This window comes from Homo sapiens, chromosome 10, assembly GCF_000001405.40.
Source record: "Homo sapiens chromosome 10, GRCh38.p14 Primary Assembly".
Lineage (NCBI taxonomy): Eukaryota > Metazoa > Chordata > Mammalia > Primates > Hominidae > Homo > Homo sapiens.
This window is the reverse complement of record NC_000010.11, coordinates 68,035,230-68,048,817: the sequence shown is the minus strand read 5'-3', so window position 1 is coordinate 68,048,817 and position 13,588 is coordinate 68,035,230. Positions and strand designations below refer to the sequence as shown.

The 13,588-nt window shown below is 36.7% G+C and overlaps 1 protein-coding gene across 23 annotated transcripts in view; it reads left to right on the top strand.

Annotated features, from left to right (window-relative positions):
• Window positions 1-13,588, top strand: part of HERC4 (HECT and RLD domain containing E3 ubiquitin protein ligase 4) — a 153,379-nt gene that overhangs the window by 26,466 nt on the left and 113,325 nt on the right. For 12 of the 23 annotated variants that reach the window (XM_047424999.1, XM_017016041.3, NM_015601.4 and 9 more), the window contains 2 exons: window positions 4,255-4,414; window positions 10,649-10,725. In XM_047424999.1, coding sequence (XP_047280955.1) covers window positions 4,255-4,414; window positions 10,649-10,725 — 237 coding nt within the window. The other 11 variants (XM_047424998.1, XM_011539597.4, XM_011539593.4 and 8 more) reach the window with 3 other exon arrangements.

Here is a 13,588-nt window from a genome sequence, read left to right as displayed (position 1 = left end):
GCAGTGTTTTAGGTTCAGGGCAAAACTGAGCAGAAAATAAAGAGTTCCCTTCTACTTCCTGTCCCCTACCATGCACCACCTCCCCAGCTTTCTGGATGTTCTGCAGCACAATGGCACATTTGTTAAAATCAACAAATCTACATTGATATATCATTATCACCCAAATTCCATAGTTTAGCGTTCATTTTTAGTGTTACACATTAAATGGATTTTAACAGATGTATAATGACATGTATCCATCATTGTAATATCATGTAGAATAGTTTCACTGCCCTCAAAATCCTCTATGCTCTGCCTGTTCATCCCTCCCTCCCTGTATCCCCTGGCAACCACTAATTATTTTACTGTCTCCATCGTTGTCTTTTCCAGCTTGTCATATAGTTGGGATCATGTAGTTTGTAGCCTTTTCAGATTGGCTTTTTTACTATTAAGTAAATTTCTTCCATGTCTTTTCATGGCTTGGTAGCTCATTTCTTTTTAGCACTAAGTATTCCATTGTCTGGATGTACCACAGTTTATCCATTCACCTACTGAAGGACGTCTTGGATGCTTCTGGGTTTTGGCAATTATGAATAAAACTGCTAGAAACTTCTGTGTGGGCTGGGTGTGGTGGCTCATGCCTGTAAATCCTAACACTTTGGGAGGCTGAGGTGGGAGGAGCACTTGAGCCCAGGAGTTCATGACCAGCCTGGGCAACATAGTGAGACCCTGTTGCTACAAGAAATTAAAAGATTAGCTGGGTATGGTGGCATGTGCTTGTAGTCCCAGCTACCCTGGAGGCTGAGGTGGGAGGATTGCTTGAGCCTGGGAGGCTGCAGTGAGCCATGATTATGCCGCTGCACTTCAGCCTGGGCAACAGGGTGAGACCCTGTCTCACAAAAAAAAAAACAAAAACAAAACATTCATGTGCAGGTGTTTATGTGGACATAAGTGTTTGAGTAAATATCAAGGAATTGGGTCATATGGTAAGAGTAGATTTACTTTTGTAAGAATCTGCCAAACTGTTTTCCAAAGTGGCTGTACCATTTTGCATTCCCACCAGCAGTGAAGGAGAGTTCCTGTTGCTTCACATCCTTGACATCACAACTGGTGTTGTCAGTGTTTTGTCTTGTGGCCGTTCTAATAGGTGTGTAGTGGTATGTTGTTTTAAATTGTAATTCCCATGGGACATAAGTTGAACATATAAGTTAAATATCTGTTTGTATGCCTGCTTGCCATTTGTTTATCTTCCTTGGTGAGGTGTCAGTTTTGGTCTTTTACTTGTTTTTAAGATAGGATTGTTCGTTTTCTTATTGTTGAGTTTTAAGCATTCTTTGTTTACTTTGGATTAATACTTCTTTATCAGCTGTATCTTTTGCAAATGTTTTCCCCTGGGCTATGGCTTGTCTTCTTACTCTCTTGATAGATTTTTTATTCAAGCTTAACCCATATGGAAAAGTGCAAAATTGAAAATATATGTATAGCTTGATGAGTTTTCTAAGTGAATCTATTATTGGCTTCTCAGTGTAGTTTGAATTTGCATTTCTCCACAGGCCATTTCTGTTTCTTTCTCTGTGAACTTTTGGTTCACATCTCTTACCCACTTGTCATGCGAATTACTGACCTTTTTTTTTTTTTCCCTAAGAAGTCAATAAAAACTGGGGATGTTATTCTTTTGTCTGAGATGAATACTATTTTTTGTCTGATTTTTTTCATCAGTTTTTTGACTTTGCTGTTGGTTTTGCTATAACAAGTAATTCAAATTTCCTCAAATGGATACATGGACTCCTTCTCTTACCTCAGCTCAGGACTTAGCTAGTTTTCACTGTCTTCCAAAATTCTTCATGTTTTTTTTTGTTTGTTTGTTTGTTTGTTTTTCTGGAGACACAGTCTCCCTCTATAGCCCATGAAGGAATACAGTGGCGTGATCACAGCTCACTGTAGCTTCAACTGCTTGGGCTCGAGTGATTCTCCCCACTCTGTCTCCCCACAGATGTGTGCCACCACGCTTGGCTAATTTTGTAAAAAATTATTTGTAGAGACGAGGTCTCACTATGTTGCCCAGGCTGGTCTCAAACTCCTGGGTTCAAGTGATCCTCCCACCTTGGCTTCTGCAAGTGCTGGGATTATAGATGTGAGCTACCTCGCCTGGACTATCTTTTAAGATTTACATAAATAGCTCATATTCCTTTAATGCCTTTTGTATATGTTTATCTTAGCATTTAGTCACAATCTTTATCTCACCTCCTTTTCCATAGGCTGTAAACTCATTGAGGGCTAGGACGCTTATTTTATTCTCTCTCTCTCTCCAGTGCTTGGAGCACAAGAAGTGTACAATACAACTGTTTAATATAAATGATTGCTTCTTTGTTTCGTGGATTTTGGTACCTTTGACTTTACATTGCTATCTTTGACTTTACATTGACATTTGGTACCTTTGGTACCTTTGACTTTACATTGCTATCTTTATAGCTGATGCTATTAATTTGTTATTGTTGAACCAACCAAGCAGTCTTACTTACCTGTCTTGTCATCCTATCATTTTCTGCTACTTCCTTTGAGGATTGTTCTGGAGAGAACTTGACTTTTTCTGGAGCCTCTGAGATAACAGATCTTTTAAACATTTACTTCTTCATAATTAAGATTTATGGGAATGTTTTGATATAAACAAATGATGCTTCTAAGTATTTTTTCTTTTTTTTTTTTGGAACAGTGTGTGTCATATCTTGCTTGCCTTTTTTGTTTTTGTATGTTTCTGTAAAATACTTTTTTAAAAGCTATACAAAAAATGAGATATTAGTGTAATAAACTTCATGTACTGGAAGCTTCAGGAGTAGGTAAGTACTTAATACATCATTAGAGTTGTGCAGGTTCCTAGAGGCTATATAGGGCTAACCTCCCTCTCCAAAATGCAAGATAGTAATCTAGATACAATTTGAATTTCTGTATAGATAGGAATTTCAGCCTCTTTGGTTCAGTCTGTTTCATTATTGAACAGCTGCATTTGTAAATTGAGCTAAACTATGCCTCTGAAGAAACCCTGATTGATCCAGTTTTAACCACTTTCAACATAAGACTTTTAGTTTGTTGAAGACAATGATTATAGCTTTCTTATTAAGCTGAAAGAAAGTTAATTTTAAATGGTATCTTTTAAAAAACTTGTGATACTAGTAAAAAAACCTGACAAACACATCTTGAGGACTAAGAGAAACAAATTCACTTTCCTTATTGATTTGTCAATTGATGGCTACTGGTAGTAGGGCCAGTATTTTAAGGGCCAATATTTTAAGTTAATTTCTGTTTTAAAAATTGAACATATTTTAACTACATGTATCTTTTGATATTAAGTTGGCAGTCCACAAATGGAAACCCTGTCAGTCATGGTTTACTGCCTTTCAGTTCTCTACTCACCATATCTAATAGATGCTTTATTTATGAGATCTTTAAAAAATTTGTTTTCCATTCAGAAATTGCTAATTCAGATTATTTCCTTAATTTCCTTTTTTTATCTTGAGACACGGTCTGGCTCTGTCACCCAGGCTGGCTGGAGTGCAGTGGCATGATCTTGGCTTACTGCAACCTCCATCTCCCAGATTCAAGCGAGTCTCCTGTTTCAGCCTCCCGAATAGCTGGGATCACAGGCGTGCACCACCACACACCCAGCTAATTTTTGTACTTTTAGTAGAGATGGGGTTTCACCGTTTTGGCCAGGCTGGTCTTGAACTCCTGACCTAAAGCGATCCGCCCTCCTTGGCCTCCCAAAATGCTGGTATTATGGGCGTGAGCCAGCACACCGTGCCTGTTTCCTTAATTTCAGAATCACTTCATGGCAGCATATACATTGTAATATATGTGTCAGTTATGATCTTATTGTTAAAATCAAGCAGCCCAGGTTATTTAAATGATTTCTTCTTTTTTTTTTCACCTGGACTCTTTTATTAGTAATAGATTTGAATAGAAGGTACATTCTGAGAGAATCTTTATAAACCCTTAACTTCTTCCCAAAATGTTCAGGTCACTTGATATTCTGAGTTGATTATGCCCTATGATATATTTATCTGTGGTTTACCACAATGAGAATTACGTTTGGAACATATTTGTTGAATAGTTCAAAATAACTGGTTATATCTAGTGTGTGTTTAAGCATTTCTTTAGCTTGTTTGTATAAAATGAAGAATGTGTTTTGTTCTTATTGGAAGTTCAAAACTAGAATGCAATATCTTTTTCCTTGATTTCTGTACTAGAATGCAATATTTCTCTTCTTGATTTCTGTAGAGCAGGTTGTTGCCCTGGATGCCCAAAATATTGTAGCTGTTTCATGTGGAGAAGCTCATACGTTAGCGCTAAATGACAAAGGCCAGGTGTATGCTTGGGGTCTCGATTCTGATGGACAGCTTGGCCTGGTAGGATCAGAGGAATGCATCAGAGTACCCAGGTAACAAAGGTGACCAGAAAGAGGTCCTTAACAATCTTTTAAAATAAATTTGTTAATCTAAATTGTTCTGCTTATCTTTGGGCCTGTAAGAGTTGACATCTCATTATTTCTCCCCTTTGAGTCCTTTGATAAGAGTTTGGTTCTTGCTTATGATGTTGATTGAGCTATTGATTGATTTGCTATTTTTATATACTCTATATTTTCTCTATAATCAATAGAATTTATGTCTGTAAAAAAAGCATAGGGAATACTTGCTTCATTACAAATTTTTTTAGTGGGTTATACTAATTTAAACTACTACTATCTTGAGTATTCCTGCTATTGAAATATTTATTAAATATTGGTTTGTTGAATGTTTTTCACTAACTTGTCCTTTTTTTAGTCTTTATTGTTTCTGTTGAATATAGAAGTCCAACATGCTTACTGTAAAAAGAATTTAGTCACTTTCCACTTTGTACATAGCAGTGAGCCCAATTTAATTAATTCATCATATAATTATTTCACAATTAAAAAATAAGCAGTGCCTCATCAATGTTTTAGTCTTACACAGTTACATAGGGCATAATCGTTTTTTGTTTGTTTGTTTTTGAGACAGAGTCTCGCACTGTTGCCTGGGTTGGAGTGCAATGGTGTGATCTCGGCTCACTGCAACCTCCACCTCCTGGTTTCAAGCGATTCACCTGCCTCAGCCTCCTGAGTAGCTGGGATTACAGGCGCCCACCACCACAGCTGGCTAATTTTTTGTATTTTTAGTAGAGATGGGGGTTCACCATGTTGGCCAGGCTGGTCTCGAACTCCTGACCTCAAGATCTGCCCACTTTGGCCTCCCAAAGTACTCATGATTATAGGCGTGAAGCACTGTGCCTGGCTAATCATTGTTTTAATATTAAAAACTCTAACAGCATGAATTACATAGGTAAAAATATACAGATTTCAGTATTCAGTTTATTTCAGATACATAAATAATACATTAACTCATACTTAGTTTTAAAATTTACACAAATTCTGACCTCTTTAAACTCTTTTGTTCTTTTTCCTAGTAATAGTAATTCTTATAGAACAGGATTTTAAATTTAAGATTTTTAAAAAACTGTGTTTAGGATGAAAAGAGATTTGCATGTTAGATCTTCTGAGTCAGTATTCTCAAAACCATGATTCATGGCAAAACTTTCTAGTTTCCTTTATTTTTACTCTACCAGTCTGATGATTCTCATACTTAAACTTTTGTTGCTGTTCACTTTTAAGGGACTTTAGTCAGTAATACATAGGTAAATAATAAATGGAAAGAAAGTTAATTATAAGGAGAGAATTTTATTATGTATAAAATTTATATGAGGGTTGTCCAATAATAACAACTATGAACCTGGATGGGGACCTGAAAGAGAATTTACTTGAGTTCTTTGGTTTCAACATCTTTATTTTTGTATGTGCTCAACATCTGTATTAACTTTAAGCTGTATGTTAAGGTATTTCTGCTTTTCATCCTTCTCAGTTTTTCAAAATTTTATGGCTTGATCTGATTTGTTGTAACGTATACATAGTTTTTACTGATATTACCAGCTTTTAAAGGGCCATTTAGTATTTCAGTGGAAATGTTTTTTTATAAAAGGAAGAGTGCCAAGAGAGTTTTGGTTTTAATTTCAGTACCAAATCATTTTTCAGATGTAAGGCTTTTTCTAGGTGGCTTAGAGATGTCAGCCAGCTTTGTAAATTTTACATATAGTATCTATAAACAGATTTCTAAAAATTGGTGTTTATAGATTTTTGTTTGTTTGTTTCTTGAGACAAAGTCTCACTCTGTCACCCAGGCTGGTGTGCAGTGGCATGCTCACAGCTCACTGCAGCCTCGACCTCCTGGGCTCAAGCCATCCTCCCACCACAGCCTCCCTAGTAGGTGCGACTATAGGCGTGCACCACTATGCTTGGCCAATTTTGTATTTTTTGTAGAGACAGAGTTTCACCATGTTGCCCAGCTGGTCTTAAATTCCTGGACTCAAGGGATTCACCGGCTTTGGCCTCCCAAAGTGTTGAGATTACAGGCGTAAGCCACTGTGTCCTGCCTAGTGTTTATAGATTTTCGTAAGAGTAATCAGAATAGGCTGGGCATAGTGGCTCACGCCTGTAATCCCAGCACTTTGGGAGGCCGAGGTGGGTGAATCACAAGGTCAGGAGTTCAATACCAGCCTGGCCAAGAAGGTGAAACCCTGTCTTTTCTAAAAATACAAAAAATTAGCCAGGCAGGCGCCTGTAATCCCAGCTACTCAGGAGGCTGAGGCAGAGAATTGCTTGAACCTGGGAGGCGGAGGTTGCAGTGAGCCGAGATTGCACCACTGCACTCCAGCCTAAGCGACAGAGCGAGACTCCATCTCAAAAAATAAAAAAAAAGAGTAATCAGAAAAGTGAAGATTCGCATTAGGTTATACTTTTGTGACAACAAAACCCATTTTTAATGCCAGTGGATGGATAATATTAAAGAAGAATGTGAAATTAACAATAGGATATAACTGAAACAGTTTGATAATGAATTGTTTCCTACTTCTAATTTTGTTTTGTTTTGAAGTCACTACTTTGGGAAAGACCAAGTATTTTAAATAGTGTCTGTAGACCTGCATTTCTGGCTAGATGTTAATATAGAATATATATTACACCATTTTATTTAAAAAATTGACCCAAATTTTATTATCGTAGTTTAATATAAGTGGAAACACATAACTTTGCACACAGACTTCAGAAAAATAATTGTTGGCAATAAAGATGTAGTTTATCTTTTAAAAGTTCTGCTTCTTGGACATATACATTAAAAAATTATGGCAAGATAGTATAAGATTATTATTTTTGTGAGTACAGCAATTTCTGGACTATACAAACTAAACATATTTGAATTATTAGCTTGGTCAAAAATACAATTTATTTTCTTGTTATTCATTTTAAGATATATTACAATTCCTGCCTAATTTTAGCATCTGAAAATTTGGAACATTATAGATTAAAAAGAAAAATTAAAGAGTAGTTTTTAATGGTATAGAGTAGGTCAGTTTTTAGTCTAAATTTTTCATTTTTTTAAAAATCTACTCCCCTATTCTGAGATAAATTTTTCAAAATTGAAATGAGTTGGTGTTAAGATTTTTCTTAAATTACTAGGAAAGTTGTGGCTTAACTGGAAAATAGAAAATTGGTAATTGTGTTTAATTGCAAAATATTTAATACTTTAGCTCCTCAAATGTTTAATTACATAATATAAACTTTTTACTAAACATTAGTGGTTGGAATTTTGTCTTCAGAAACATAACTAACAATGCCTGATTTCTGCCTATATTGCCGCTACACATTAAGTTGGGAAAACAGAAGAATACAACAGTATACATATTCCATAATTGATATGCTTTAGCAGAGTCCCAAAGGAAGGGTATATAAATCTTATCTCCAATGTGTGTGTGTGTATATATTTTTTTAATTTACAAAATTTATTCTGGCTTCTTTTTCTTTTTTTCTTTTTCTTTCTTTTTTTTTTTTTTGAGACGGAATTTCACTCTGTCACCCAGGCTGGAGTGCAGTGGCGCAATCTTGGCTCACTGCAACTTCCGCCTCCTGGGTTCAAGCCATTCTCCTGCCTCAGCCTCCCAAGTAGCTGGGACTACAGGCGCCTGTCACCATGCCTAGCTAATTTTTGTATTTTTAGTAGAGACGGGGTTTCACCATTTTGGCCAGGCTGGTCTTGAACTCCTTACCTTATGATCTGCTCGCCTTGGCCTCCCAAAATGCTGGGATTGCAGGCTTGAGCCACCACGCCCAGCCTTTCTTTTGCTTTTCTGTTCAGTGTATTTGAATATTCAAAAATTAGAAATGATTAAACACATTATCTTTTTTATGTGACAAAGGGGATTACTTTTGATGAGTTCTAACAAATTTATTTAATTATTTTCTAATTTATCTCTTTAGAAAAAATGGAACATGGGAAGCCTTGTTTTACCATTCACAGTATTTTTTAATTTCTAAAAGCTAAAACAAAGAAAACAAAGCCAATATCCCCCATTCTTTAGGGTATTAATACATTTATATGAAGATGAAAGGGGATAGTTTTTTCTTTAACACAGTAATGACGCAGAAGAATATACTTCTGGTCTCTGTAGCATATAATGGTAAAAGATATTAGCATTTAATGTGTGTTACAAGCCTTAGGTTAGTATTTTGGAAAGGAGAGTAACTGAGTATAAATTGCTATGCAAATTTAGAAAATTTTTGGCAAATTTTATGACTAATACTAAAGCCTCCAAGACCTTACAAATGTAGTTATCCTTTAACAGTATATTCATTACGTACTATTAATTAGGCACTATAGTAGGTGCCAGGCATTATCATGGGTATAAAACACATAGTCTGCCTTCACAGAACTTACTGTTTAGCAGAGGAGACAAATATTAAATGAATAGGTACCTGTGGTTAGTAGCGATAAATGCTCTGAAGGAAAAAACATACAGTACTGTGAGAATGTAGTATTTTGAAATGTTTCATTTGCAAAATTGTACTTGATACTCAGAATAGTGTTTTTTTTTCCTAAAATACTTAATATGCTGAACAGGTCAATGTATCATCTGCCTAGTATGCATAAACAATAACAGTAAATGTTTAGTAATTTGAGCACAGTTGGGTATGTTCATGTATTTTTTATTCCTTACTCTGTTTGCATTGCCAGTGTTTGATTTTGCTATTTCAAAGAAATGGCATTTTGTTGAGTTTGAAAATTTGAAGGTGCATTGGATCCTGCTAATTTGTTGGATTCTGCTAAATTGTAGCAGTACAGCTCTCAGGTTTTGTAGTTAAGAGCATAACTTCACTAAATAAAAATATTTTTAATACAATAATATGGAATCAGAGTAACTCTCCTTTTTCCTGCTCAAACTTTGATTTGCTGAAGCTGCTTCCCGAAAATCATGTGTGTCGACTCTCTGGTCAGAATTTGCTCCGGACTCTCTTATGGCAGAATCAGGTCAGGTGACAGTATCAGGTAAAGGGAAATAAGAAACATATTGTGTACCTCCCCATCCCCCGTTTTTTCTTTTCTTTCTTTCTTTTTTTTTTTTTTTTTTTGAGACAGGGTCTTACTCTATCGCCCATTCTGGAGTGCGATGGTGTGATCTTGGCTCACTGCAGCCTCTGCCTCCCAGGTCCAAGTCATTTTCCTGCCTCAGCTTCCCGAGTAGCTGGGACTACAGCGTGCCACCACACCTGCTAATTTTTTTTTTTTTTTTTTGTATTTTCAGTAGAGACAGTGTTTCACCAGGTTGGCCAGTCTGGTCTCAAACTCCTGACTGACCTCAAGTGATCCGCCTACCTTGGTCTCCAAAAGTGCTGGGATTACAGTAACCCACCTGTAATCCGCATCTGGCATCCCCCCTTTTTTTCTTGAAAACATTCATTCAGGAAAAACAGTAACATGACCAGGCAAAGGGAAAGAACCAATGGAGATGCTGGGATGGTTGATGTACATACAAAGTTAATTGAGTTTTGTAATGTTTTAAAAATGAGCCTTTAAAGTTGCGTTGTGGTAAAACAAAACTCAGGAAAGGGGGGAAGGAAATTACGAAAGTATAAGGACAAAATACAAGACAGAAGAAAATAAGACTTAACATATTAGTAATGATTGTTATAACTGTGAATTGAGTAAATTTCCTGAGTAAAAAAATTGAATGTCCCTGATTTAGACGTAAAGCAAAAGGATAGCTTGTAAGGAATAGGTTTCATAATTTGAGAGTTGGTAGAACATACAAGAATCCCTGTTGGTTCTTAAGAAACCCGATAAAGGAGAACGTGCATTAAACTAGGCAAAACACCAATTTTAGACAAATTAGATAATGTACATTTGCTTTCCAGATGTATTGCCAAGTTTCTAACTGTAAGCTGATGATTTAAAAACACGTTTTTATAATGAAAGAAAATATCTGAATTATAAGAGCACTCTGAGGAGTACTTGAGGTATGAGTATAGCTCACTTTGCTTAAATACTGTCTTTCCAAGATGTGTTCTTTTCACCCCTTTAATTTTTTTTTTTTTGTATCTAGCTCTTGTTTACTGATTTTAGCATAAATTTTTGGTACGCTAAAATTGAGCTTGTATGAAAAAAAATAATATGACCTATGTGCATATAGTAGGCCATCAATAAATAACATAAATAGCATTCAAGATCAATTTGTTAAATGGAATTAACTGGTCTTGATCTGTCTTCTTCTTTTCTAGAAATATTAAAAGTTTGTCAGATATCCAGATTGTACAGGTTGCTTGTGGTTACTATCATTCACTTGCACTTTCTAAAGGTAAGCATTAGTTTTTATTTTATTTCTCTTCAGTTTTATTACTTGATACTTTTTTGATTGTGCATATAGTTCTCCAGCTTTGCTCATCTTTCTGCAAGATTGCCCTGGTTCTTGATCCTTTTCATTTCCATATAACTTTTAGAATTAGCTTGTCAGTCTGTACACACACATACACACACAAACACACACACACACTGCTAGGAATTTGGGATTTTGTTGTCTCTATAAATCAATTCAAGGAAAATCTTTACAGTATTGAACCTTTCAATTCTAGAACACGGTATATTTGTCCATTTAAGTCTCCCTTTAATTTTTTCCATTAGCATTTTGTTTTCCCTGGACAGGTCTTATACACCTTCGATTAGACTTTCCCCTAGGTATTTGATTTTTTGTTGTTGTGAATGGTGTCATTTTTTGTTTATTATATAGACATGAAATTGATTTTTGTGTCTGTTTATTAAACAGTTAAAAACTCTTCATAGCTGCAACTGGGGAAGATTGCTTCCCCAATCTCATTTAATCTCATAGATGAACTTTCTATGCATAGAAATAAAGAAGGCTAAACATCATATTTATTAGCTTTGTTTGCATTCCTCTCTTACCAGTTTAACTTACTAGTATCCTAGCTAAGGATTGGAACATGGGCTAGTAAAGAATCTGCCATATGTATGTTTTTTACCATTAAAATAAATAGGTTTGCTGGGCGCAGTGGCTCACGCCTGTAATCCCAGCACTTTGGGAGGCCGAGATGGGCAGATCACCTGAGTTCAGGAGTTCAAGACCAGCCTGGCCAACATGGTAAAACCCTGTGCCTACTAAAAATACAAAAAATTAGCTGGGTGTGGTGGCACACACCTGTAGTCCCAGCTACTCGGGAGGCTGAGGCAGGAGAATCGCTTGAACCCGGGAGGCGGAAGTTGCAGTGAGCCAAGATCACGGCACTATAGTCCAGCCTGGGCGACAGAGCGAGACTCTGTCTCAAAAAAAAAAAAAAAAAAAAAGAAGAAATAGGTTCCATTTGCTCCATTGTTACTATTTAGTGTTACTATTTAGTGAAGCCTACTACAAATAAAGCACTAGGAACCATGGGGAAGCACAGATAAATTAAGAGACAGGTTTAGGGATCATACAATCTAGTGAAAGAGACAGACATCCAAGTAAATAACTGTAGTCTGAGGCAGAAAAAAATATGTACTATTTCAGACAAGGTAAAAGTAAAATGCTGTGACAATGATATAATTGTTTCTAATTGATATAATTGGTAATAATAAGGAGGGGATTAGTATTTGATGCAAGTCTTTAAAGATTTATTAAAGATTAATTTTTTTATTAATAATTGGAGAAATGTTGAGAAGAACAAGGAGAAATGTTGAGTGGCTAAGGGGGTTGTGCTGGTGTAAAGGCATAGAGTTAAGAAAGTGGTGTATTTGAATATTGGCATGTAGTTTTATGTGGGTGTTGTGAGGGAGTGGGAGACATACTCATACTTCAGTTTAGGCTGAAATAAAAAGAGAAGTCTGTTATAAAGGGCCTTAAATGTCATATTAAGGAATTTGGACTTCTATAGGCAGTTAGGAACATGGAATCTCTGTGTATTCTTTGTTGTTTTGCCAACTCCTCTTTTGATATTTTGGTAGGTGGATCTAACATAAATTTAAACTCAAAGGTTTTACTGAGGACAGTTTTTCATATTGACCTTTTTGTTTGTTTGTTTACTCAGCTTTGTGGTGTAGGCAATATCTTATTCATTTGCTAAACTTTTTTTTTTTTTTTTTGAGATGGAGTCTCCCTTTGTCACCCAGGCTGGAGTGCAGTGGCATGATCTCGGCTCACTGCAAGCTCCGCCTCCTGGGTTCACGCCATTCTCTTGCCTCAGCCTCCCTAGTAGCTGGGACTACAGGCGCCTGCCACCAGGCCTGGCTAATTTTTTGCGTTTTTTTTTAGTAGAGGTGGAGTTTCACTGTGTTAGCCAGGATGGTCTCGATCTCCTGACCTGGTGATCCTCCCGCCTCAGCCTCCCAAAGTGCTGGGATTACAGGCGTGAGCCACTGTGCCCAGCCGCTAAACATTTTTTAGAGCCCTTAGTATGAACTAGGCATACTACAGTATACAGTAATAAGCAGTATACTACTTACTAGCCTTCGTGATATAGTCATTCAATAATGATATAATTACATACTATGATAAGGGCTATAAAGAAAAACTTCAGGGTATTTAGAACATAGGACAGCGGTACTAGACCTAATCTGGGAGATCAGGGAAGGAAGGCTCCTGCTGGGAGAGAGTTGAAATGAACTGGACAAAGATGAGGGAAAGGTTTAGGTAGAGAGAACAGCAAGTGTGTGAGAACTGGCCATTGGAGAATATAAAGGAAGGCAATACGGCTAGAGTATAGTGAGTGACTGATATGAGAAGAGATTGGAAACATAGGTAGATCATACAGCACCTTATAGGCCTTGTTTAAAGTGTTTATCCCAAGAGCAGTGAGAAAGCACTGAAATATATTTTTTGGGGTGAGCAATATTATCAAATCTGCATTTTTACAATATCTCTATGCATGTATACAAATGTCTATTTATATGTGCATAGAACATTTCTTGAAGGACTTACCAGTAATTGGTAAGAGCGATTGTCCCAGGCTGGGTGTGGTAACTCACACCTGTAATCTTAGCACTTTGGGAGGCCGAGGTGGGCAGATCACTAGGTCAGGAGTTCGAGACCAGCCTCGCCACCATGGTGAAACCCTGCCTCTACTAAAAATATTTTTTAAAAATTAGCCAGGCATGGTGGCACGCGCCTGTAATCCCAGCTACTCAGAAGGCTGAGGCAGGAGAATCACTTGAACCCGGGAGATGGAGGTTGC